Source organism: Homo sapiens, chromosome 8 (assembly GCF_000001405.40).
Source record: "Homo sapiens chromosome 8, GRCh38.p14 Primary Assembly".
In the NCBI taxonomy this organism is placed as follows: Eukaryota; Metazoa; Chordata; class Mammalia; order Primates; family Hominidae; genus Homo; species Homo sapiens.
The window spans coordinates 8,854,458-8,879,281 of NC_000008.11; the positions used below are offsets into that span (position 1 = coordinate 8,854,458).

A 24,824-nucleotide genomic window follows, 5' to 3' on the forward strand; every position below is an offset into this window, starting at 1 on the left:
TTGCAGTGAGCTGAGATCGCACCACTGCACTCCAGCCTGGGCAACAGAGCGAGACTCTGTCTCAAAAAAAAAAAAAAATTAGCCAGGTGAGGTGGTGCATGCCTCTAGTCCCAGCAACTCAGGAGGCCGAGGTATGAGAATTGCTTGAACCTTGGAGGTGGAGGTTGCAGTGAGCCAAGATTGCACCACTGCACTCCAGCCTGGATGACAGAGGGGGACTTTGTCTCAAAAAAAAAAAAAGGAAGAAAGAAAAAAATATGTATTATGACTAAATCAGAACATCACATGGAACATATTTACACTAAAAATTATTCGTTGCTTACGTGAAATTCAGATGTAAGAATAGATGTATACATGAGACCCACCCATAAGCAACACTTTATTGTTTATCTGAAATTCAAATTTAACTGGCTATCCTGTTTTTTTGGTTTTGGGTTTTTGGGGTTTTGTTTGTTTGTTTCTTTGTTTTTGATACAGGATCTCACTCTATACCCCACGCTGGAGTGCAGTGATACTATCACAGCTCACTGCAGCCTCCATCTCCTGGGCTCAAGTGATTCTCCCATCTCAGCCTGTCAAGAAGCTGGGACCACAGTCGTGGTCCTCCCTCAGTATATATGGGGGGTTTGGTTCTAGGGCCCCCACCCCCAGCATACCAAAATTATTTTTTATTTCTTGTTGAGAGAGGTCTCGCCATGTCGCCCAGGCTGGTCTCGAACTCCTGGGCTCAGGGGATCCACCCGCCTCGGCCTCCCAAAGTGCTGGGATCACAGGCGTGAGCCACCACACTCAGCCGACATCCTGTATTTTATCTGGCAATCTTAACATTGTATTAGGACAAGCGGAAAACAGATGAATTAAGACATGGCATCTTACCACAGGAGCTCATTGTCTGGTGAAAGAGCCAGACCTGAACTAGAATCATACAATGGAGGATTGGAGGCGCTTTCCAAGCGCTTTCAAGAACACAGGGAAGGAGCAATTAAATCCTAACTGAGATGCACACTAATGTCTCCATCCTGCACAATGAAAATGAACGTTATAGAATTTATTCTATCATTCTATATATCCCACAGATTCTTTAATCCTGATTCATGAACTCGCTACAGTGTTTTCAGCCAGGCACGGTGGCTCACACCTGTAATCCTGGCGCTTTGGTAGGCCGAGGCGGGTGGATTACTTGAGGTCAGAAGTTCAAGACCAGCCTGGCCAACATGGCAAAACCTACTCTCTACTAAAAATACAAAATTTAGCCAGGCATGGTGGCAGGCACCTGTAATCCCAGCTACTTGGGAGGCTGAGACAGGAGAAGCACTTGAACCTGGGAGGCTGAGGTTGCAGTGAGCCGAGATCACGCCACTGCACTCCAGCTTCGGCAACAGAGTGAGACGCCGTCTCAAAAAAGAAAAAAACAAAAAATTATGCTTTCTGCCGTTATTTTCATCTGAAGCAAGTTACTGACAAGGTAATGTGAAGGGGGTTATAAAACACTGGCCATAACAGATTCAGAAACACAGATGAGAAAAGATGCTCAGTTATTTCAATGCCAAATAAGCCTCCTCACTTTTGTGCTTTGAAAGCGAGCGGGGACTGAATGTTTACCTGTTTCAGAACTACAGTTTAGAAGACGGTCTTCCCCATGTCTGCTGAGATGAGGGATTCCCCATGAACTCCTCACATGCACAGCTCTGAAAGTAAGATCTGGGGCCCTTATTTGGAAAACAAACTCCCTAGATCTTTTTGCTCCAGCAGCCAAAGGAGCTGGGCATGGTACAAGAGTCACTGGTCAGGTGGGGTCAAGCCAGGACAGTGCTGGAGAGATCTGTCCCGAGCTCACTCGAGTGTCTTTCTCATGGCACTGGGGCAAGCATGACCTGCACAGCCTGGCACAGAAACAGCACTTGCCCAGAAGATACTTCCCCGTATTTCAAGATCAAACAAAGTAGGACGCAGAAAAGAAAAGAAGCAAGGGAGGTAAGGGATGGTGTGTACATATTTCCTGTTGGAATTCCTCTGGAGTATAAAAAAGAGGGCCTGACAATTGCCAAACATATCAGGTGAGGCTTTGGGATCCACTGGTGGGAAACACTGAATATATTTAATATCCAAGACAATAATTCAAAGACTCTAAATTGGGAAATTAGCTTAATAGTATTTTACTTGCAAGGTCCTACATTTCAATATTAAAAATACTGACACATTAAAAAATGAAATTGGTCTTTTATTCCTAGCCTATTCATCTTTGCATCTTTCCCAGCACAGAGCATCCCCATGGCACTCAGCAGACCCCCATGATGTCTGGTCAATTAATGAGTTAATGGATGGTTTCAAGCCCATGAGCCAGATTCCTGTCACCGGCATGTATCAGTTTATTGCTGCACACGGGAAACCTTGCAGCCACAGGGCTTTGTTTATACACTGCCCTAGAAGCCACTAGGATTCTCTAGATCAGAAAGAGAAATATATTCTAGTTCTCATCTTTCAAACTGGCTCAAAACCTGACACTTTCACATCAGGAAAGTGAAAAAAAAAAAAAAAAAAAAAAAAAAAAGAGGAGAGATACCGAAAGAGCCAGGCTGTTCATAATTTTGTTTTGGAGGCAGTGCAGAAGAAAACATCCTAGAGAGGCACTGCCAAATTCTAAAAAGAGTCTTAGAATGCCAAAAACAGATTCAGTCCCTTAAGCAAAGTGGAAGGGAAAAAAGAAGCCTATCAATTCAAAGCAATAAAGATTTAAACAGAAAGTTCATGAGACATCAATAAATTCCGCGTGTGGCCCTATTGTTTAGTTACTAAACTGCCAATGCAACTTTCAGTGGTTAACCAACACAGCACAAGTTTGCTCCTAATTTAATATCCCTTTCAGATTTCTGATTCCATAATGAGATATCTTCCAGGCCAAAATATGCCAAATTTTTCTACCCTGAAACAAACCTGTGAATTTTCTGGGCTTAGGTCCTTTCTTTTTTCCTCCATTCAGCCACTGAAATAATAAGAATTCTAATTAAAAATGAGTTCAGGCCCGGCGCGGTGTCTAACGCCTGTAATCCCAGCACTTTGGGAGTCCCAGGCAGGTGGATCACAAGGTCAGGAGCTCGAGACCAGCCTGGCCAATATTGTGAAACCCCGTCTCTACCAAAAAATATATAAAAATTAGCCAGGCATGGTGGCGGGTGCCTGTAGTCTCAGCTACTCAGGAGGCTAAGGCAGGAGAATCGCTTGAACCCGGGAGGCAGAGGTTGCAGTGAGCCAAGATCGCACCAAGGCACTCTAGCCTGGGCAACAGAGCAAGACTCCGTCTCAAAAAAAAAACAAAAAAAAATCTTTTGTTTGTAAACTCAGTAGATATATAACTGTCCTACAGTGACATTGACAAGTTAACTTTTAAAATACCTAAAGCAAGTTTCCCTGTAGAGTTGGGCAAATTCCATATGCTGACTGCCCACTTGTTGATACATTTTGCTATCAGGAACCCAACACCACCAATTTTGGGGAAACCTTTTTCTAAACAAATGAGAAAATCCAAGATGATTCAAATAGCTGAGCTGAACAAAACAAAATGCTCTGAGACAATGACTGGTGTTCACTGATCTGGGTCATTTGCCTGCCTCCACGCCTGACAGCCTTTGACCTATCCCAAAGCAACAGCCATCTGTCTAGTATCTGAACAGAAATTGGGACGGAGCACAGGGGGTATACAAGGCAGGGAGTAGTTAAGAAGCCAGCAAGGGAAGGAAGGAAATTGTTTAGTAAGTGCCCACTACATGCCAAGCATTGTCTTAGGCATTTTTATATGCATTATTTTATTCAGTCCTTACAAGAGCTGTATGACATAAATTTTGCTTTTTTAAAACTAAGCAAGTCTCAGATGTCTCCATGTCATCAAAATCTAAATATATAACATTATTACCCTTTGAAAATTCTAATAAATGAAAGAAAATTTAAATTTAATATTTAAAATTATATTAAATGGCCCATCCAGTTTTGGAGCCTAGGAAGGGTTCAACAAGAGTGATTTATTTTACTAAGACCTAGAGCAACAGATGAGACCTATGTTACTGAAAACGATTATGCAATGCTATAATTACAACTATATTAAAAATATGCCTTTTGGGGGATACTCTCTTCATTGTGGCGATGGCCTCACAGGTAAAAAACAAAAATAGACAGTCCTCCCTCGGTATATATATGGGGGGTTGGGTTCTAGGGCCCCCATCCCCAGCACACCAAAATCTATGCATAAAGTCCTGAAGTTGGCCCTCGGGACCTGCATATGAGATGAGCCAGCCCTCCGTATGCACAGGTGGCGTCGAGGTGGACCCAAGCAGTTCAAATCTATGTTGTTCAAGGATCAACTACACTCATGATTCAGACCAAAATAGAAATAAACAAAGTGAAAATATCCGTAACAACAAGGATAAAGCATTCTCAGTCAAAAAAGACTATATAGAGGAACACAAGCCAGATATCTGTTTTATATTTCTCAACATATTTTCTGCACAATACCAGCTCCAGCGGATGTTACTTCTTACATATGCACACACATACACACACACATAAAGATTCTTCAGTCAATAAGTTTGAAAAATGCTTGGTTAAACAAAGCTCACCACGGCTGGTAGTGATGGCTCATGCCTGTAATCCCAAAACTTTGGGAGGCTGAGATGCAAGGATCACTTGAGGTCAGGAGTTCGAGACCAGCCTGGCCAACATGGCGAAACCCCGTCTCTACAAAAATTACATGGGTGTAGTGGCACACGCCTGTAGTCCCAGCCACCTGGGAGGCTGAGGCAGGAGAATCACTTGAACCCAGGAGGTGGAAGTTGTAGTGAGCCAAGATCACACCACTGCACTCTAGCCTGGGTGACAGAGCAAGACTCTGTGCCCCTCACACCAAAAAAAAAAGTTCACCATGTTTCCTAACTGTGGAACTTCTCAGAGGCCTTCTCATACACTAAGATACTTGGTGCTATTCAAAGACAGCTTAATAAAATACAGTTGATCGTTTAACAACACGGGTGTGAACTGTGCTGGTCTACTTATATGACAGTTTTCTTCCACCCCTACCATGCCTGAGACAGCAAGACCAACCCCTCCTCTTCTTCCTCCTCCTCAGTCTACTCAATTTTAACATGACAAGGATGAAGACCTTCACCGATGATTTACTTCCATTTAAGGAACAGTAAATATATTTCCTCTTCCTTACGGTTTTCTCAGTAACATTTTCTTTGCTCTAGTTTACTATATTGTAAGAATATAGTATCTAATATCTATAATGTACAAAATATGTGCTATTGACTGTTAATGCTATCAGTAAGACTTCCAGTCAACAGTAGGCTATTAGTAGTTAAATTCTGCAAAGTCAAAAGTTAGATGTTCAACTGAATGGGGGGTCGGTGCCCCCAATGCCTGCATTGTTCAAGGGTCAACTGTATTTTTTACTAATTTTAAGTGATATCTGGTATTAATCCCATTTTCAGTTAAGTGGCAGTTCAAACAAATTAAAATAACTTACCCATCAGGACTGCATACCTTAGGTGGAGGATTTAGGATCTGAAACACATTTGGCTGGCTCCAAAGCCTGTATTCTCTCCCATTGTCCCACAGTGCCACAAAAAAAATGGAAATAATTAATTTGGGTCTGCCTGCTCCCTCTCAGGGCTGCAAATCCTTCATCAAGAGTCAAGGTACGGTCAGAGGGAGCACACGCAGGCCTGAGATTCCACAGAAAGAGCACAGAACAAAAGATGGAAACCCATCCCACTCACACGACAGCCCTTCTTGGGTACACTCTCTTTGGTGGCAGATGCCCAAAGATAACAGACTGTGCTACGCGTCAACAATCTCATCTGACTGCTAGGTTAGGTCCATTCCATGTAAAAATAACAACAACCCCTGCCTTCTCAGTCCCCTGTACTTAATTATTAGAAAAAGAGAAGGAGAAAATACGCCAGTTAGGAAACTTCAAGAACGCCCTCTGTTCCTTTCCATTTTGCTGGCATGCATCTCTACTAGAAGCCTGAGAAAATAAGGCATCAAGGTGACCAACCTACATACACTTGTACCGGATTCTCTAGAATGTGTCTTCAGGAATTCCCCGGGGCTCTTCCTGTGGTGCTGAGAGTGGCTCTGCCACCATCACAGCAAACAGGAGGCTTAAGGATGAAGTGACAGCCGCTTTCCCAAATGAAATGCCATAACATCACCCAGACCGCCTCACTTAGGACTGAGGGCTCCACGCATTCAAGCAATAACTAAAGGAGAATCAGTGTGAGGTCATCCACTGAGTCATGCCAAACTACAAGACCTTTTTTTCTCTTGAAAAAGGGTGAGAGAGATGTTTGCTCTTGGCAGACAGTTCTAATTTTCATGCAAATTAAATCATTGGTCTCGTTTCCATTTCTTCTGGGCTCATACGCATACATATTTATGTATACATACGTATACAAACCCACAACCACTTATTTCATCACTATGAAAGCCCAAATACCTTATTATAATCACTGCAATGGACATGACAAGAACTGGGAGTTCTATTTCACAGTCCCTATTAGCGATTATGACAGAAAGTCTACACGTGCCTTTTAATTTCATCACTTAACGTTTCTTGGGCTGAGGTAATATCAAACTCATCTTTACATTCATCCACTGTAATTTCAAGTAGAATGCCTGAAAAGTGGTAGACATATATAAAACATCTACCGAACTGAATTAAAGCAAAATAAAACATGTAATGTAAAACAGAACACTCAGGCCTTGTGTCTTACAAAATCCTTGAAACTTCACAATCGAGATGTGACCATTGCCAAGTCTTTCCAATGAATTAAAAAGCAAACAAAATTTCTACTATACTTATGCCACGTGAAATTGCTGCTTTTGTAGGTCAAGAATGATTGGATATCAACAATTTCATGTGGTTCAGTCTAACAGAATATAATCAATCACACAAACTAAGGTAGAAAATCTGGATATATCTCCAACAACAATGTTCCACTTACCACAATATTCATATACAAAGGATATAATCACAAGGTATATACCAAATTAGTGTGAAAACAGCATGTTTCAGGACATCTAAGGAAATCGTATAATCAAAACTTATTTTTTAAATTAACAAGATATAATAAAGGCATTTTACGTGTAATAAAATTCACCAATTTTAAACGTAGAACTTGATGCATTTTGACAGATATAGTCTCGTAACCTCCACTACAGTCATGAGGTAGAATATTCCCGTCACCACAAAAAGGTTCTCTTGTACCCCTCTGCAGTAAATCCCTTCCCCATACCACCGGCCCCAGACCTGCTTTCTGACAGTGTATCAGTTTTGCCTTTTCTAGAACTTCATATAAATGGAGTCATACAATATGTACTCGACTGGCTTCTTTCACTCAGCATAATGCTTTTGAGAGTCATCCATGTCGCTTTATCAGTAGTTCATCTCTTTTCCTTGCTATGTCGCATACCACAATGTGTTTATCTGTGCACCAGACAAGTTGTTTCCAGTATGTGGCAATTGTGGAAAAAGCTGTTATGAACATTTGTGTATCTTTTTAAAATGTATTTTCATTTCCCTTGGGTGAATTAACTCAGAATGAAATTGCTGAGTTAGCTAGTAAACATGTGTTTAACTTTATATGAAACTAGCAAACTGTTTCCCCAAATGCTGTATCATTTTCCACTCCCAAGAGCAGCGTAGGAAAGCTCCAGTTGTCACAGCTCCTCGTCAACATTTGGTATGGTCAGTCTTTTTCATCTTAGCCACTCTAGGGAACATGCACTAGTATCTCCTAGTGGTTTAATTTACATTTCTCTAATGATTAATGATGTTGACATCTTATACTTACCTGCTATTCATGTATCATATTTTGGAAAATCTCTATTCAAAATATGTTACTCATGTTTAACTGGGTTGTCTCAGCTATAAGAGGTTTTTTTTTTTTAATCAGATATATATTTTTCAAATATTTTCTCCTAGACTATAGATTGTCTCTTCATCTTAACAGATCTTTTGAAGACCCAAAGTTTTAAATTTAGATTAAGTTAAAAAAATTTCTTAAACTAAAAAATTATTTAGTTTCTATGCTAAAAAGAAAAAATGTCTGCTGTTAGGGGGTGGAGGTGATGAACAGGCAGAGCTCAGAGGAATTTTAGGGCAGTAAAACTCTTCCGTATGATACTATAACGGTGGATACATCTAATTACACATTTGTCCAAACTCATAGAACACTAAGAGTGAACCCTACCTAGTGTGAACTACTGGACTTCGTGTGACAATGTTGTGTCAATGTAGGTTCATCGATTGTAACCAGTCCCACTGTGGTTGGGGATGCTACTAATGGAGGAGGCTGCGCATGTGTGGGGACAGGGAACAGATGGGCAATCTCATGCCTTCTGTGCAATTTTGCTGTGAACCTAAAACTTCTCTAAAACATAGTCTATTTAACAGTAAAAATCTTTGCCCGTCTGAAGGTCACTAAGAGTTTCTCCTATGCTTCCTTGGTAAGACTGTATATTTTTAGCACTTACATTTAGATCGATTACCCATTTCAAGTTAATTTGTGTATATAGTACAAGGAATGACTCAAGGTTCATTTTTATTAATACAATTATCTGATTGTTTTGGCACCACTTGAAAATATTCTTTCCTCACTGAATTATATTTGTACCTTTGTCCATAATCAATTGGGCATGTATGTGTGGGTCTATTCTGTTCCATCAATCTATCTGTTTATACTTACGCCAATACTACACTGTCTTAATTACTATAGCCGGAAAGTAAGCACTGAAATCAGGCAGTGTAACTTAGAATACAGTACTGATTTTTAAATAATTTAATAACTGTGGGACAATTCACCCCCAATGGATATATCACAGGACCTCAAACTGATGCTGTTACTCCCTCCATTCCTTTTTCCTGTGTAAATTAACAGTGGCTCCTTGCACACATGCCAGTGGGACTTCAAAGGCCTCCATGTATTTCCTGCCTAGATGGAGCATAAAGAATTCCTGCCCAGTTGACCTCATCCAGAATGGACTGTTACCTATATTTATTACCACGTATGATCTTTTCTTGTTCCACTGGCCATAACCCCTTGCACCCGTGGTCTCTAGTCCTTAGATTTTTCCAGACCATATCATTAAAATGTTTCTAACCTCTGTTTTGACCATCTGATTCCTACCTATTTGGACTTCCTCAGAGAATCATTTCCCTAACATACTGGTCCTTAACCCAGACCATGGCCTGTTTTCACTAAGAGTCTGGCCCTTACCTGTAACTGAAACCCACCCCATCATCTCACAGAACTAATCTATTAATATGCAGTTTCTAATGAGCTTAGAAATTGACCCACCCTGTCTTAAAACTTAAGAAAGTTGCATTTGTTTTATCTGAATTCCTTTCTCAGAAAACCAACCATCAGGGCTCCCAGATATCAAGGAGCTGAAACTCACCAGATCACTGCATTTGGACAAGGAGACACCAGACCCTTCACCCATTATGGCTGCCTCAGTGACCACCAGCTTCCTGTTGACCAACTCCTCTTCCTTATACCTTCCTAATTCCTGTTTACCGGCATGTAGTTACATTGCCTTCCCACTATATAAGCCCCCAATTTTAGTTGGTCAGGGAGATGGATTTGAGACTGAGCTCCCATCTCCATGGCTGCAGTACCCGATTAAAGCCTTCTTCCCTGGCAACACTTGTCTCAGCAGTGATTGGCTTTCTGTGCGGCAAGCAGCAGGACCTAAACCAAATCTCTGGTGTTCTGGTAACATAAACACAGAAGGGTAAGTTAAAAAAACAAAGCCATTTTCTGCCCCTATGCTCAACCAAATCTGCTGCTACTGGCCATGAGGGCCGCCCACTGCACGATTCAAGGATGCCATTCACACCAAGCAACAAAATGGCCCTGCCCGACTCCTCCTCCTCTTTGCCCACCCTCCCACATTAGTAGAAACAATGTCTTCCTATCAGAATCACCAAGTAAAAATATTTTTAATGTTCCTTGGACCAAATTCATATCCTAAATATTCTTATGTTAACCTTGATGTGTTTCAGACAAGTCAAAATGCAATCTACAAATAACTGTTTCAGTGAGATCACTTTTTATTTCTCCTAAAATCCTCATATATTTACATCATCTTACAGAACCACAATGAGCATAAAATTAGCTACTCTCTTCCTATCATTTGTACCAGCTACCCACCAGACACTTTTGAAATGTATCATGTAAACTGAATTTTCCAGTTGCATGCCAGGATAAAAGTCCTTGAACTTGGGGTCACTTGGCAGTCATTTTATCTTTAAACTCACACCTACAGGCACTAGGGAAAAAAGGAAAGGGAAGGAGAGAGGGAGAGAGAGAGGACTCAGATAAGATGATATCATAAAGTTATATAACATGGTGCCGAAATTGTCTCATCCAAAAAATTACTTGAGATTTCTTTTGGCTTTAGGTATGAACCACATATTAGTTACTAGAAAGGGTATCTAGTTTCCACCTAGATTAAAAAACAAACCAAAAACATGTTTCAGGCCAGGTCTGGTGGCTCATGCCGGTAATCCCAGCACTTGAGGAGGGCAAGGTGGGTGGATCACTTGAGGTCAGCAGTTCAAGACCAGCCTGGCCAACATGGTGAAACCCCATTTCTACTAAAAATACAAAAAGTTAGCTGGGCACGGTGGCATGCACCTGTAATCCCAGTCACTCAGGAGGCCGAGGCAGGAGAATCGCTCGAACCCAGGAGCTGGAGGTTGCAGTAAGCCAAGATTGTGCCACTGCACTCAACCCTGGATGACAGAGTGAGACTCCATCTCAAAAAAAAAAAAAAAAAAAAAAAAGAAATGTTTCACTGTCAAGATGACAGGCTGAGAAATTATTTCCCCATAAAAACCTAGCTCCACTTAGTTTAAGAAACAAAACTCAAAAGGCAAAAATCAGAAACTCCTGGATACAAAAATCAGAAATGGGAAAAGAGACACAAGGTACAGAGGATGGAGAGGAAGGAGACTAGGAGTTACTACCCTAACTCGATGAAAGCTAAACACAACCAAGGACCCCTCCCAGGACAGCCCTGGTGAAGTGGAATCACATAGAAAAGCAACAGATGACACTTGACATGAATTACTGTCCAGAAAACTTCATTTTAGAAAATGGCTGTTAAGTACAATTGTATATCACTCAACTGTCAAATCCTAGTCTACTCAAGGTGAGGCTCCTATAACTTCTTTGAAATTTCTAGTAATTATTATCTGAACTGAGTTGCCACTATTAAACCAGGCAGCCACTTAGTCCAACTATTTTTGGGTCCCAAATTTAACACTTAGTGTCTTAGAAGAATTTAATTTTCATAGTCCAAAAAGGTCAGAAGCCTGGTTGATGTAAAACAAGTGGTGTCTATTATTTCTCTCAGGAAGGCAGAAAAACTAGGGCAGGGATTACTGCAGCTACAGAATGACTGTCCTCCACACCTCTCCTTGTTCAGGCGGCTTGGCCTACTCTCCTGACAGTGCAGCCACGGAAAAAGTGCCAAAGCATGCCAACCTCAAACAGAGGTGATGACAGAGAAGCTGAAATCCTGGTTTCCCTGGGGATTTGGCTGGCCAATTTTTAGAAAGCTCTACTCCTAGCTGAAGTGCTTTTATTATTCTCTTTTTCTAAGCAGGAAGAATACAGAAGAACAGGGCCTGGGAACCTAGGAGCACTTCTCTTTACCATTGGTTCAGTAAAATCAGTGTCATTTTGCCTGCGAAAAGCTCTCTAACTGATCCCTGTTTTATCAGACGATAAAACTCTGACGCTGAATGGGAACCTAGAACAGGGATCTATGGCAACTTAGCAAGGATCACTTCTTTTTTGTTTTTTTTTTTTTCTTTTTTGAGACAGGGTCTTACTGTCCTCTAGGCTGGAGTACGGTGGCGTAATCTCAGCTCACCGTAGCCTCTGCCGCCCTGGCTCAAACAATCCTCCCACCTCAGCCTCCCCAACGGCTGCAACTACAGGCATGCACCACCACGCCCAGCTAATTTTTTATTTTTTGTAGAAATGGGGTTTTGCCATGTTGCCCAGGCTGGTCTTCAACTCCTGGGCTCAAGCGATCCTCCCACCTCAACCTCTCAAAGTTTTGGGATTACAGGCATGAGCCACTGCAGTCAGCCAGTAAGGATCACTCTTATCCCTAGTAAAAAGGATCCGTGATACAAAATGGCCACTGAGTCCCTTCTCTCTCCCCAGTCTCTTACACATTCTCATAAACAGTGATTGACTCACTTATTTTCTGCAGAAGACAGAATGGCATGAATGGGACGGAAACGGTTCATATGACTACTTGGATATCTCTCATCCTGTGAACCAGTCTAACAAGCAATTACCTTGAGGAATCTGAAAATAAAATCGTGATATGAATTCATGAATCAGGAAAGAACCGTGTACTTGCATAATTAGCCTTCTTTAGAGAATGGGGAAATACATATCTGATACAAGACAATTTTTAAGGTGTAATCCCATCATTTGCAAGTCACTAAGAATAAATGTGAAGGTGACAGTGGGAAAAAAAAGAAAGAGAAAGAGAGATGGGTTGGTATGATCTATTTTTAGCTTACAGTTCAGCTACACATAATATATTAACAAAATTTCTGATACTGCTAAGGTGCATTAATATAGATTAAAGGAAACAAGATAATAAAGGAGATGGACTGAGCTCTTCAAGTCTGTACTAGTAGGAAATGGAATTAAACACAGGCTGTGGGGTTTTATGAAAGTCACAATGGTCATCAGCATATGCAAACCCACTAAATTCTTCACCATATAAACTTTTTGTTACATTTTTATAACAAAAGTTAAAAATATACCCTCACATTTTTGAAAGTATGCTTCTTATGGTTCCTAAGATACCAAAAATAAAATAAAACATTCCTAAAACAGTCCAAAATTAAAAGGAGGCCCATAGGTACTTGCCTATAGGTGTCGCACAGAAAATTTTTTTTATAAAAACAATGTTTCTACTCTTTTATTATTAATCCAACCCCAGAATTTTAAAAGTATGCAAAGTATTATTACACGCCAATAAGCTAATGATAATTCAAACATTATAAATTGCTATACTTTTTTTTTTTTTTGAGGTGGAGTCTCGCTGTCTCCTAGGCTGGAGTGCAGTGGCGCAATCTCGGCTCACCAAAAGCTCCGCCTCCCGGGTTCATGCCATTCTCCTGCCTCAGCCTCCCAAGTAGCTGGGACTACAGGCACCCGCCACCACACCCGGCTAATTTTTTGTATTTTTACTAGAGACGGGGTTTCACCGTGTTAGGCAGGATTGTCTCGATCTCCTGACCTCGTGATGGGCCCACCTCGGCCTCCCAAAGTGCTGGGATTACAGGCGTGAGCCACCGTGCCTGGCCATAAATTGCTATACTTTTTTAGTAACAGGTTAAAAACCCTGGGATCTGAGGGAAAGACCAATTGTTTAACTCCATTCTTCATTCTCAACATGTGTTTCCTACCGCTAATAAATGGAACTCGAGTTTTTCCATGGCCCCACTCAGTTGGAAGAATCCTCTTTCTCGCCTGAACTTCTGTGGCACTCTGTCCAGACTGACTTTTATCATTTATTATAATAAGTGGTATAGCGCACAAACCTGATCCATTTTCTAGACCAAGTTCCCAACGCACAGGCTCTGAGGGGGATTCAGTTGAATCTCCCAGGTGCTTATTCCTTGCTGCAAGGCCTCTGGAAACTCCTGCTTTATGAATCTAGAATCAATGAATAAATATCCTGACAAATAGCTACTTACATGTAAACTCTAGATGTTATCTCATTTCTCTACACTGCATGAGCACTGTGTTGTATCTTTCGGCTAATAATATAGACAAACTAAGTTAATGATTATTCTTGCAAAGATGCAAAGATTTTTTTTAATCTAGTATGAACTAAAAGCCATAATTAATCACCGAGAAGGATAGCCTCAACTTTTTTAAACTGACTGTAAACTGATTACCTAGTGCCACTCGGCTAATACACTGGAACCAGCCCTTGGTAGACAGATGTGCCCTTCCAAACAGATATGCACAGTAGGCCTGGGCTCATCCCAATTTGGAGCTACTCCCAACTACTCGGATCTTTGCCTTGGATCAGCCCAACAAATGAGCATCTTATGGAAGATGAGGCCGCTCACAAACCCACAATGAAATACATGGCTTGGGCCCTCTCTAATGAATTACTCATGAGTCAGGCATGACACCTGAGTCTGGGAGGCTCCTCTCATAAAGTCGGTAGTAACCTTAACATAGAAAGAAGTTATAAATGACTATGCAACCTTACAACTGGCTTCCACCCATAGTCATCGCTACTTCATATGCAAACAGCACCTCTGATATCTCACTCAGATTCTAAAGAAATCTTTGCTAGGGGAAGAGAAAAAGGGAGAGGAAAAAAAAGACATTCTCTGCTGTGTTTTACATTTCTTAATCCTCTCTAGTTTCGTCTAGAGTTTAGAGAAAGTCAGTGAGAAAAAAGATTATGGGCATGTTCCTAACCATTTATTTCAATTTCCTTTATTATTAGGTGGAAAAGTAGTTAACAGCTATGCAAAGCAGGTGCAGAGAGGAGGAGGAGGAAGGCAAAAAGAGGGCCGCTTTTGAGGTGCATGAACCAAGAAGAGTCGCTGCCTGCTCTGTGCCATCATGCAGCTGTTAATGCCACAAGGCTGCTCTCCCACCCTCCCCAAAGTTGATAATGAAAAATCAAAGCACAAACAAAAGCAATGCACAGAACAGGATAGCAAAACCCGATCATCCTGCACCAACCACATCTCTTCAGTGCATCTGCTTTGACCTCTGCTTTTACAAGCACTACCACTGAAAATAAGCTAGAACAAAAGCTGATTCGTTATGCACAACCATAAAGAACTCCGGGGCACGCTACATACATAATTCATCATGCCAAGCACGCGACAATCAGCATCATTTATCTTTGCGGTATTTTAAAGCGGTGACAGGTTACTAGATATTTATAAAGTCTCTTATTTCTATGAGACCCTTCCAAATTTAAGAAATAAAGAACCTTATTCCTCTGCAAATGGCACTGCTTACAAACCTAAGACTATATATCTCCTGGAATTCACCTGGTATCCATCATAAGAGGGTGGCTACACGACCCTAATAAACCAATTAAGCTAGCAGCCGTTCCACATCAGTCCTGTTGAAATTAATCTTATCAAATCACTTCCGCTTTCTGTTTTTTAAAACATGCTGCAGTCTTCTTCCCGCTGTGGTTAAAATTTTTCTTGAAACATACACTTAAATCAGTCATGCTTTCTGTCTAATGGATGAGGAAACCGGAGCCTGGGAAGGTTCAAGAGCTCAGAGCTAGGAGGAGAGAGGCCCAGGACTCTGCCTCATTAACATCCAAGACTCAATTGCCTTCATCCCCAAGGACCTACCTGGGGGCCTCTATTGTTTATTATTGTCTGAATTACCTCTAAGTGGTCCCTCTGACTCCATTCTTACTCCATTGAAATCCATCTTCCACACTGCTGCCCTGAGTGTGCTGACAAAATGGAAATTTGACATTTCCCCATTTGACCCTTCAGTATTTTCCTCTCACCCTCTGAAAAAAACCATCAGGCTTTAATTTAGCTTAACACCCAGATGCCAGAAGTTCCTTCTGGTGAAAAAGTGTTAGCTAGTGAATAGATAGGCTAAAAGTTATTTACACGGGATATGTACAGTGGTTCAACCTGTAATCCCAGCACTTCGGGAGGACAAGATGCACAGATCACTTAAGCACAGGAGTTCAAGACCAGCCTAGGCAACATAGTGAGACCCTGTCTCTACAAAAAAAAAAAAAAAAAAAAAAAAATTAGCCAGACATGGTGGCACGCACCTACAGTCTCAGCTAACTCGGGAGGCTGCAGTGGAAGGATAGCTTGAGCCCAGGAAGTTGAGGCTGTGGTAAGCTGAAATCGCGCCACCTCACTCCAGCCTAAATGACAGAGCAAGACTCTGTCTCCCAGGAAAACAAAAAAGGTTTAAAAAGAAAACAAAAATATTTACAGACGTGCATTGATAAATGAATAGTTGGGCTGCCAGTAATTTGTACAGCCCATCACACGTCAGGGGCCCTGGTTTTACAGAAAGTCCCTACGACTCACCTCCCCTGGAGACCTCCCATCCATCTAACCACCCCACACACACACACGTGGATCAAGACAGATTCCATCCCGCAGGCCTCTCCGAGCCCCTGGAGATCTTTTTCTCCTGGAATTTATTACACAGCCCTGCAAATCTCTGCTTACTGTCCACACTGCTTCCCTGGACTGCAGCTTCCCGGGGTCAAGGCCTTGCTCCCCTCCCATGCCCCATGCTCTGCCCCATGGCTGGTCACTGCCAATCCCCAGCAAATGTTTATAGTCCAGTACTGCAATGTTAAAAGCAACCATGTGCATTTCACACAAGGAGTCCTTACTTTTTTTCTTTTTTTGGTGACAGGAGCGTCACTCTGTTGCCCAGGCTGGAGTGCAATGGTGCAATCTCAGCTCATTGCAACCTCTGCCTCCGGGGGTTATTCTGCTTTTCATTCAAATAACTACCCATTTTTAATGGGTGACAAGCTATTGCCTTCCTGAGAAGCAGCACAGGGTGACAGCAAAGACCATAGGTTCCTGAGGACAACCTGGGCTCTGCTACATGCTGTGTGCCCCTGGCCATATGACTTAGCCCTCCTCTGTCTCCACTCCTCATCTGTAAACCAGGATGATGGTAATCAGAGCTAATGTTTACTGAGCCCTTATTATATGGTAAAAACTACTTGCAGCTGGGCGTGATGGCTCACACCTGTAATCCCAGCACTCTGGGAGGCCGAGGGGGCTGGATCACTTGAGGTCGGGAGTTTGAGACCACCCTCGCCAACTTGGTGAAACCCAGTTTCTACTAAAAATACAAAAATTAGCTGGGCATGGTGGCACATGCCTGTAATCCCTGCTACTCATGACAATGAGGCACAAGAATCATTTGAACCAGGGAGGTGGAGGTTGCAGTGAGCCAAGATCACTCCACTGCACTCCAGCCTGGGCAACAGAGTGATCACAAACACGCAAACAAAGAAAAAACTACTTGGGGACTTGACATCTATTCATTCATTTCCCCCTCACAACATCTAAGGAGACTCTGATAGCAGGTGTAAATGCTTGGGAACTGTTAGAATTATTTTTACCTATTTACAGACGAAATTGAGGCCCAGGGAGGCCAAGTGGCTTCCCAGAGGTCCAGGCCCCCGACTTCCTAATCCACTGATTTAATTACATCCAAGGCTCAGATGCATGGGCTCAGATGTATGAATGGCATTCAAGAAGTGCCTGGGAGAGGTTAACATACTGCTGATAAAAGATGCAAGGCCTCTTTCTCTAATGCTGGTTTAATATAAAGCAAGTAAGCTGCATGGCAATATTCATCTCTAGCTACAGCTAAGGTGACACTTGTTCTGTCACCCTACCTAGGAAACCGTATCAACTCCCTGAGATGAAAATCTGCCCCATTCCAGAAATGAGCTAAATCAAAGGAGGGAGAAGGAAGGAAGAGGAGGCTAAGGCAAAAAGTTATTCACACTTTGCATAAACATGCCCGGATGGCAAGCATTATAAAACGATCTGTGTAACATAAGCTTCTGGGTCCATGGGAGGCAAGGGAGCATGTGACTGTGCACGGATATGAACAAAGCCAGCGACACACCACCAGATTCTTCAAAAGCAAATATTTGTCTATGACCAAAGAATCGGGATTCTTTTCTAACAAAGAGGAATGTACACCGTTCTAATTCCTGATTCTTCCTCCTGCTTTACAGTGGGTTATGATCTCGATGGAAATCCCCCCATGAATAAATGTGTCTGCAATCACAAATGGCCCCATAAATCAGAAGATTTATGAACTGTAAAAGGGGACGGCAGGAGGATTCCAACCTTGCAGCTTCCTTCATGCGGACCACCTGGGGCCGGATGCATGGCAGTTTATCACTTCCTGGAAACAGTCATCTGGCTTTTCTTTTTAGCTAAGCAAGAAAATGTTATCAGCCCTGGTAATCAACAAGATGCAATCATCCCTGCTATTTGGGTAAGCTTTTAATGCCGCACCACATTACACAGAGGAGGCTCAGATGCATAGGCTCGGATGCATGAACAGCATTCAAGAAGTGTCTGGGAGAGGTTAACACACAGCTGATAAGCTCTGGCTGGCTGCAGTGAGGCCTGGCCCAACAGCCCCTAAGGCAAATTCCTGAAGGGACTAAATAGAAAATGAGTGGATATTCCCTATTCCAAGGGAAAAAATAAAAATAAAAAAAAAGATGGGAACAATACAGTAACCAGGGAAAAGCACAGAGCATGCACATGTGTGTTTTTCTTGGGGAGGGGGAAATGCATATATTTCAGAGGCTTAACAAATACATTCAAAAGAACACCTGCTCCATCCCAGACAGGCAGCAGAACATCGTGCAAGAGTGAGACGGAGACAACCGGGCAGTGCCACTCGTGAGCCATCTGGGAGTGAGGGGTGTCAGGGAAGGGGACAGATGCACCCTACAGGGCTTTGCATCCCAGTTCTTATTACTGTACCTTGGGCACAAAACAGCCCAGCTCTAGGCAAGCCAGTGAGCCATTTTTGGTATCATAGTGTTCTTTTGGAAAATTCACATTTCTATTTTTAGTTCTTCCACATGCAATTCATAAGCAATAGCCCTCCGGAATCAAAGTCACCTCAGCTATGCCATGAGTCAAGAGAATCCCAGTGAATATATTTTTTAATAGCATGTTCAGGGAAAATGTGACCAGCTCTGTTCGGCCATACTGTCTGCATTGACTTGGCAGTTAGCATGAAATGAAGGATTTTAAAGACCAAACACTTCAATGAGTCCTGTGAAAAAAACTCCCAAGAACCTGACTGGGGACTTTGTTAGCTTGAAATAAATATATACGTCATTAAGTATGTTTTAAACACAGAAGCAACTATAACAGGATTTAATTGCTTACTTTTTTTTTTTTTTTTTACAGGTCAAACACATTTTAGAGTGCTGGGTTACACCCACTCTTTCTTCATCACATGTACAGAAAGGCAAAGAGTGTGGGTAATCTCTTAAATTTTAAATTCCCACTTGGTATGAGGATAAAACATCCAAGAAACATTTCCTGTGCAGAACACACCAAGCTTAGGTGTAGAAAATACAACGGTGTGGAACTCGAGAGGATGGTTCTAGGATACAAATAAAAACAACCACGCAGCGCGGGAAGATTTTTGTTTAGAAAACAGATGGGACAGAAAGGCAGATGCAATGTTTTGAGTCAATGAGATACAGTTCGTTCTTAATTATATTTCATTGATTTCTTACATGGACAGAACATCATTCTTGCTGCCACTGTTTTATTTTGATCAGCGGTATATCTATCTGTAAACATGTACAATTTGTAATTATTGCTATGTCTAAACACTGCATCACGTGTAATGGCTGAATTAAGCTGTGAAATGCGTAATTATGCTGAAAACAATGGTGTTCCAATACACATCACCAAAGCCAATTTAAAAAAATTACCTTGTTTCAAATCACAAAGCGAAGCCTTCATAACCCTCGAGGCTTTTTTTAGGTCCCACCACTTTGATTTAGAGATTTGTCTTTTTCTAATTGCATCTCAAGAGTGTTCCGAGCACAGAGAGGGATTATTAACCCTGAAGGAAATAAAACTGAGTATTTCTTACACCTCTGGAAGGTGGAGAACGTACTTAGTTTAACAATCTGGAAAGGATCAAAGGTCTGCCGGTATAGGTGTGACTGAACAATACATCCATTGGTAGACTACTATGCTATATTTGTAGGATATACTATAACATTCTACACACACACACACACACACACACACACACACACACACACACATAATAATCTTCTATAACAGGGTTCTAACTGTTCATATGGAGGCATCTCAAAAATATATTTTGAAGTGATCAAATGCGAGGTGCAGAACAAGGAGTACAGCATGATCTCATTCCTGTTAAAATATATGCAAATACATGCTTTATTTTCCCTGGAAGAAATCAGCAAGAAACATTTTACAGAGGAGACAGTTTGGGGAGGGGTTATGAAAAAGGGGGCTTTGCTAATGAATCTACCATCCACATATGGATAGCACTTTTTTTATTTTCAGTTAAAGTTATAAGGGTGAAGAATCACTATGTGATTCCCGCTGTCACCTCTGTATTTAGAAAAATGTTATGAGGTTTTTTTAAGCTCTAGAAGAAATCACAGAGGAAGCTATTAATATACTGAATGAAATTTGAAACTTCAAAACGTTAAAGGTTTTTAAAGCAAAGAGGGGAACAAGCTAGAAAAAAATGCCTTAAGTATGATAGACAAAAGGTTATCTTTTATATATGAAGAGTTAATATAAACTGATAAAACACTGTGATTAAAAAAAAAAAAAGAAAAACCACCAAGATGATGCCAGAAGATGTTATTAGAGGATTCAGAAAAGAAGCAACACAATTAGGCAACATTTATACAAGAAAACGTTCACATCCACTAGTTAAAATCTTCAGTCACCAGTGACATATTGTTTCCATTAAACGGTAGTGCATTTTATAGATGATACCCAATGTTGAGGAGGTACAGTGAAAAAGATCTTGCATCTGACGTGCCCATCCTCATGGGAAGCAACGTAAACGTGCATTGAGATTTAATGACATTTTTTGCCTTTGACTCAATGACTCTACTTCGGGGATTACTGCCCAAATAAAAAAGAGTTTTTATAAAGAAATACAGTCATCAGAGAATCACTCACAAAAAAAACTGGGAACAAGAGCACAAATGGTTGGATAAACAAAAAGAACACAAGGTTAAATAAACAAAGGTGAAAAATCACCTTGATGTACTATTATGCAAGCATTTTTAATTACTGTATAAATACTAATCACAGGAAATTATATCCATGTTAGCATAAGTTTAAAAAATCAATATTTGAATTATTTATACAATTATAACTACATATTTTTAAAACCTAAGCTTAAGGAGGAAACAAAGCTAAAAGACACAGAGCAAAATGTGTAGTGATTACTTTAGATACCCACCATGAGAAACTTTTTTTTCTTCTACTCTCCAAATTTTTTATGTTTTTTTGAGTCAGTCTCGCTCTGTCACCCAGGCTGGAGTACAGTGGCACGATCTCAGCTCACCGTAACCTCTGCCTCCTGGGTTCAAGCGATTCTCCTGCCTCAGCCTCCTGAGTAGCTGGGATTACAGGTGCGTGCCACCACGCTCAGCTAATTTTTGCAATTTTTTACTAGAGACGGGGTTTCACCATGTCAGACTGCTCTCGAACTCGTGACCTCGTGATCCGCCCGCCTCGGCCTCCCAAAGTGCTGGCATTACAGGTGTGAGCCACCATGCCCGGCCTATAAGTTTTTATAAAGGGGAAAAAGCATTTTTAAAAGAGCATAAGGTGTTCATATGAACAGAGATCATACTGTATTCCACCTCTTCTATGAAGAAAAGAGTTTTGATCCACAAACTTATCACTCTTCTAAAAGTATGTTTAGACTCTTGTACCTTCTGGAATGGTGGAAACAGCAGCAAACTCCTACTGAGCTCTTGCCAGGTGTCAAGCATTGTTCTAAGCATTTAACACATATAACTCAATCTTCAGAACCAACACAAACTATTATGATGCCTAAAGTCACATAACTAAGAAGCAGTGGCACAGGGATTAGAGCCCAGCAGTCTACTCCAAGAGCTCTTGCAACTAACCACCATATTATAATGCTTCAATTTGAAAACTACACAAAATCCCAACTGTTTCAAGTCAATCTATAAAGCAAATACAAACAAAATATAACCTAAGACTTAAAAATACCTTGTACTTCCTAGGATTTGATTAAATGTAATTGAGGAAACTTTGATAAGTTGGCAGGCAAGGGAAGACAAACTCAAATGATGATAAGATGCAAGAAACCACTGTTGTCGGCCGGGCGTGGTGGCACATGCCTATAATCCCAGCACTTTGGGAGGATGAGGCAGGCAGACTGCCTCAGGTCAGCAGTTCGAGACCAGTGTGGCTAACGTGGTGAAACCCCGTCTCTATTAAAAATACAAAAATTAGCCGGGCATAGTGGTGTATGCATCGTGATCCTCCCGCCTCGGCCTCCCAAAGTGCTGGGATTACAGGTGTGAGCCACCACACCTGGCCTATAAGTTTTTATAAAGGGGAAAAAGTACTTTTAAAAGAGCATAAGGTGTTCATATGAACAGAGATCATACTGTATTCCACCTCTTCTATGAAGAAAAGACTTTTTATCCACAAACTTATCACTCTTCTAAATAGTGGTCCCAGTTACTCGGGAGGCTAAGGTAAGAGAATCACTTGAACCCAGGAGGCAGAGGTTGCAGTGAGCCAAGATCATGCCACTGCACTCCAGCCTGCATGACAGAGCAAGACTCAGTCAAAAAAAAAAGAAAAAAAATGAAACCACTGTCATAGTGCGGTAAGTGGTGTCCAACAAATGAAGTGCATAAGACATGGTGGTCCAGGGCTGGGCGCAGTGGCACACACCTGTAATCCCAGCACTTTGAGAGGCCAAGGTGAGTGGACTGCTGGAGCCCAGGAATTTGAGACCAGCCCAGGCAACGTGGCAAAATCCTGTCTCTATAAAAAATATAAAAACTAACTGGGCATGGTGGCATGTACCTGTAGTCCCAACTACTGGGGAGGCTGAGGTGGGAGGATCACTGGAGCCCAGAAGGTCAAGGCTTTAGTGAGCTGTGACTGTGCCACTGCACACTCCAGCCTGGGTGACAGAGTGAGACCCTGCCTCAAAAAAAAAAAAAAAAAAACTACGGTGTTCCATTAATGCAAATTTAATAAAAATGGCATTTTCAGTCAGTGAGTAGTGTCACACACAAAAAAGCATAAAGTAAATATAGTGAAACTTAAACAGCCCACAATAAAATGGTAATTGTGTCAGATCCGAATTTGCCTTTATTGCAGGGTCTATTAGGGTAAGATTTAGAGCAGGGAAAATCGATGTTCTGGAATACATTCCTAGGGATTACAGAGGCATGCGGCTCTCTGGCTGATGTTAGAATGAATAACCAATGCTACTCTTCTCCCTCTACTCCGACATAGTGAAAGTGACCAGCAGCACGCTTAGACATGGCTCTGCAGAGCAGGTGTTCTGTCAGCTTAACAATAACTTGATTATGAGTCTGAGCAAATAATGTGAAACTACCCTTCCGTTTTCCCAGCCATAAATCTCTTCCAAGGTCTCAAGAGAGCCCAGCCCAATGACAAAGGGACAGGCTAGAACAATGCTTTTAAAACTCTAGTTGATGGGCCAGTGGGTCACTGGCAAGTGTCTACCAGTCCATGAATGCCATTTAAACAAAGAAGTCTCTCCCTTACTATAATTTCTAAATGCAAAACGCATCTGTGCCCACACATGCCCACCCCTAGGCCTGCTGAAGTCTTTGTCTGCTCCCTGCCTTTTAAATGGCATTCTAACTTGAAATGCTCCACCCACCTCCCTTCTTCAGGTGGTTAACTAGAAATCATCCTCTGACACTCAACTACAGTGTGGCCTTTCTGGGAACCCTTCTCTGAGACCCCTGATGGCGCTCTCCCCACCTTACCTCCACCTGACCATGACCTCCGCTGACCTCTGCACGGGCAGCTCCTGTGCAGTACCAGACTGTCTGCCCAGAACTTAGAATATGAAGGGAGAGGAGGTGAGCTGGTGTACTCTGGAAATCAATGGCAACCTAACTGAGACCCAAGTGACGGTGGGTCAGAGCAGAGGTTTGGGGCTGATATCCTAGAGTTCTCTAACTCTGGGGAATTCACTTAATTTCTAAATGTCAATTTCTCCTTCTGAAAGCAAAGACAGTAATAATACCTACTTCCTAGGGCTGCTGTGGGGATTAAATAAGATCACCCCTAGGAGGCACTTAGCACTGTCTCTGCAACATGAGAAAACGTCAACATTGTCACCTCTTCTATTTTTCTCCAAAAATAGGGAGACTGATGTGATGATTAACACAATTACCTTTATGACATGAAAAACAAGAATCATATTAAAACAATAATAAAGTTGGTAAGTCAAACAACGGCACCCAGGCGAAATATTTTTCTGGTTTTATGTTTTCCCTTTCCATTGCGTTTTTAAAAATTCCTTCTTTTCAAAAAAAGAAAAAAAAAAAGGAAAAAAGGAGGGAAGGACAGAAAGAGTGAGGAGGAAGGGAGGGAGGCTTGTTCTAGAGACCTAAAATTCACTACTGCTATAACCTAGTACTAATACAATGTTAATAGCATAGACTTCATTTTAGGAATAAGGAGGATCTAAGAAAATTAAACTCTTTAATTTTCTCAACATTTAATATGCTAATAGTACAAAAGTACTTCAAAGCATCTCTCAGCAAAGAAATCCAGCAGTCATATATTTTTATTATGATGATATGCACTTTAATGGATGCTGTCTTTGGAGTCAGCATTCATATAGTCTTTGGTGTTCAGAAATGACTGATGATTTGAATCCTTCCCCAGATGGGAGCAAGTCTATAAATGACAAAAAAGGTAAGGACTACTGCCAGGCATGGTGACTCACGCCTGTAATCCCAGCACTTTGGGAGGCCGAGGCAGGAGGATCACTTGAGGTCAGGAGATTGAGACCAGGCTGGCCAACACGATGAAACCCCGTCTCTACTAAAAATACAAAAAAAACTAGCTGGGTGTGGTGGCACATGCCTGTAGTCCCAGCTAGTTGGGAGATGAGGCAGGAGAATCACTTGAACCCGGGAGG

At 41.6% G+C, this 24,824-nt stretch overlaps 1 protein-coding gene across 3 annotated transcripts in view, besides 2 other annotated features; it reads right to left on the reverse strand.

Moving 5' to 3' along the window:
* Positions 1–24,824, reverse strand: part of MFHAS1 (multifunctional ROCO family signaling regulator 1) — a 110,277-nt gene that overhangs the window by 71,104 nt on the left and 14,349 nt on the right. The window contains exon 2 of one of the 3 annotated variants that reach the window (XM_011543852.4): positions 11,820–12,383. The exons of the other annotated variants lie outside the window; for them this stretch is intronic. Coding sequence (XP_011542154.1) covers positions 12,370–12,383 — 14 coding nt within the window. The 3' untranslated portion in view covers positions 11,820–12,369. Of the gene's footprint in view, positions 1–11,819; positions 12,384–24,824 lie in introns of those variants that run through there. 3 annotated transcript variants of the gene reach the window in all.
* Positions 5,969–6,178: an enhancer, noted in NCBI's record as "active region_26979". NCBI's record gives its function as "activates an Ori minimal core promoter by ATAC-STARR-seq in GM12878 lymphoblastoid cells {active_cell/tissue: GM12878}" and the evidence as "EXISTENCE:reporter gene assay evidence [ECO:0000049][PMID:35858748]".
* Positions 14,022–14,316: a silencer, noted in NCBI's record as "tiled region #1187; HepG2 Repressive non-DNase unmatched - State 15:Elon, and K562 Repressive non-DNase unmatched - State 23:Low". NCBI's record gives its function as "represses a minimal TATA promoter and a strong SV40 promoter by Sharpr-MPRA in HepG2 and K562 cells {active_cell/tissue: HepG2 | K562}" and the evidence as "EXISTENCE:reporter gene assay evidence [ECO:0000049][PMID:27701403]".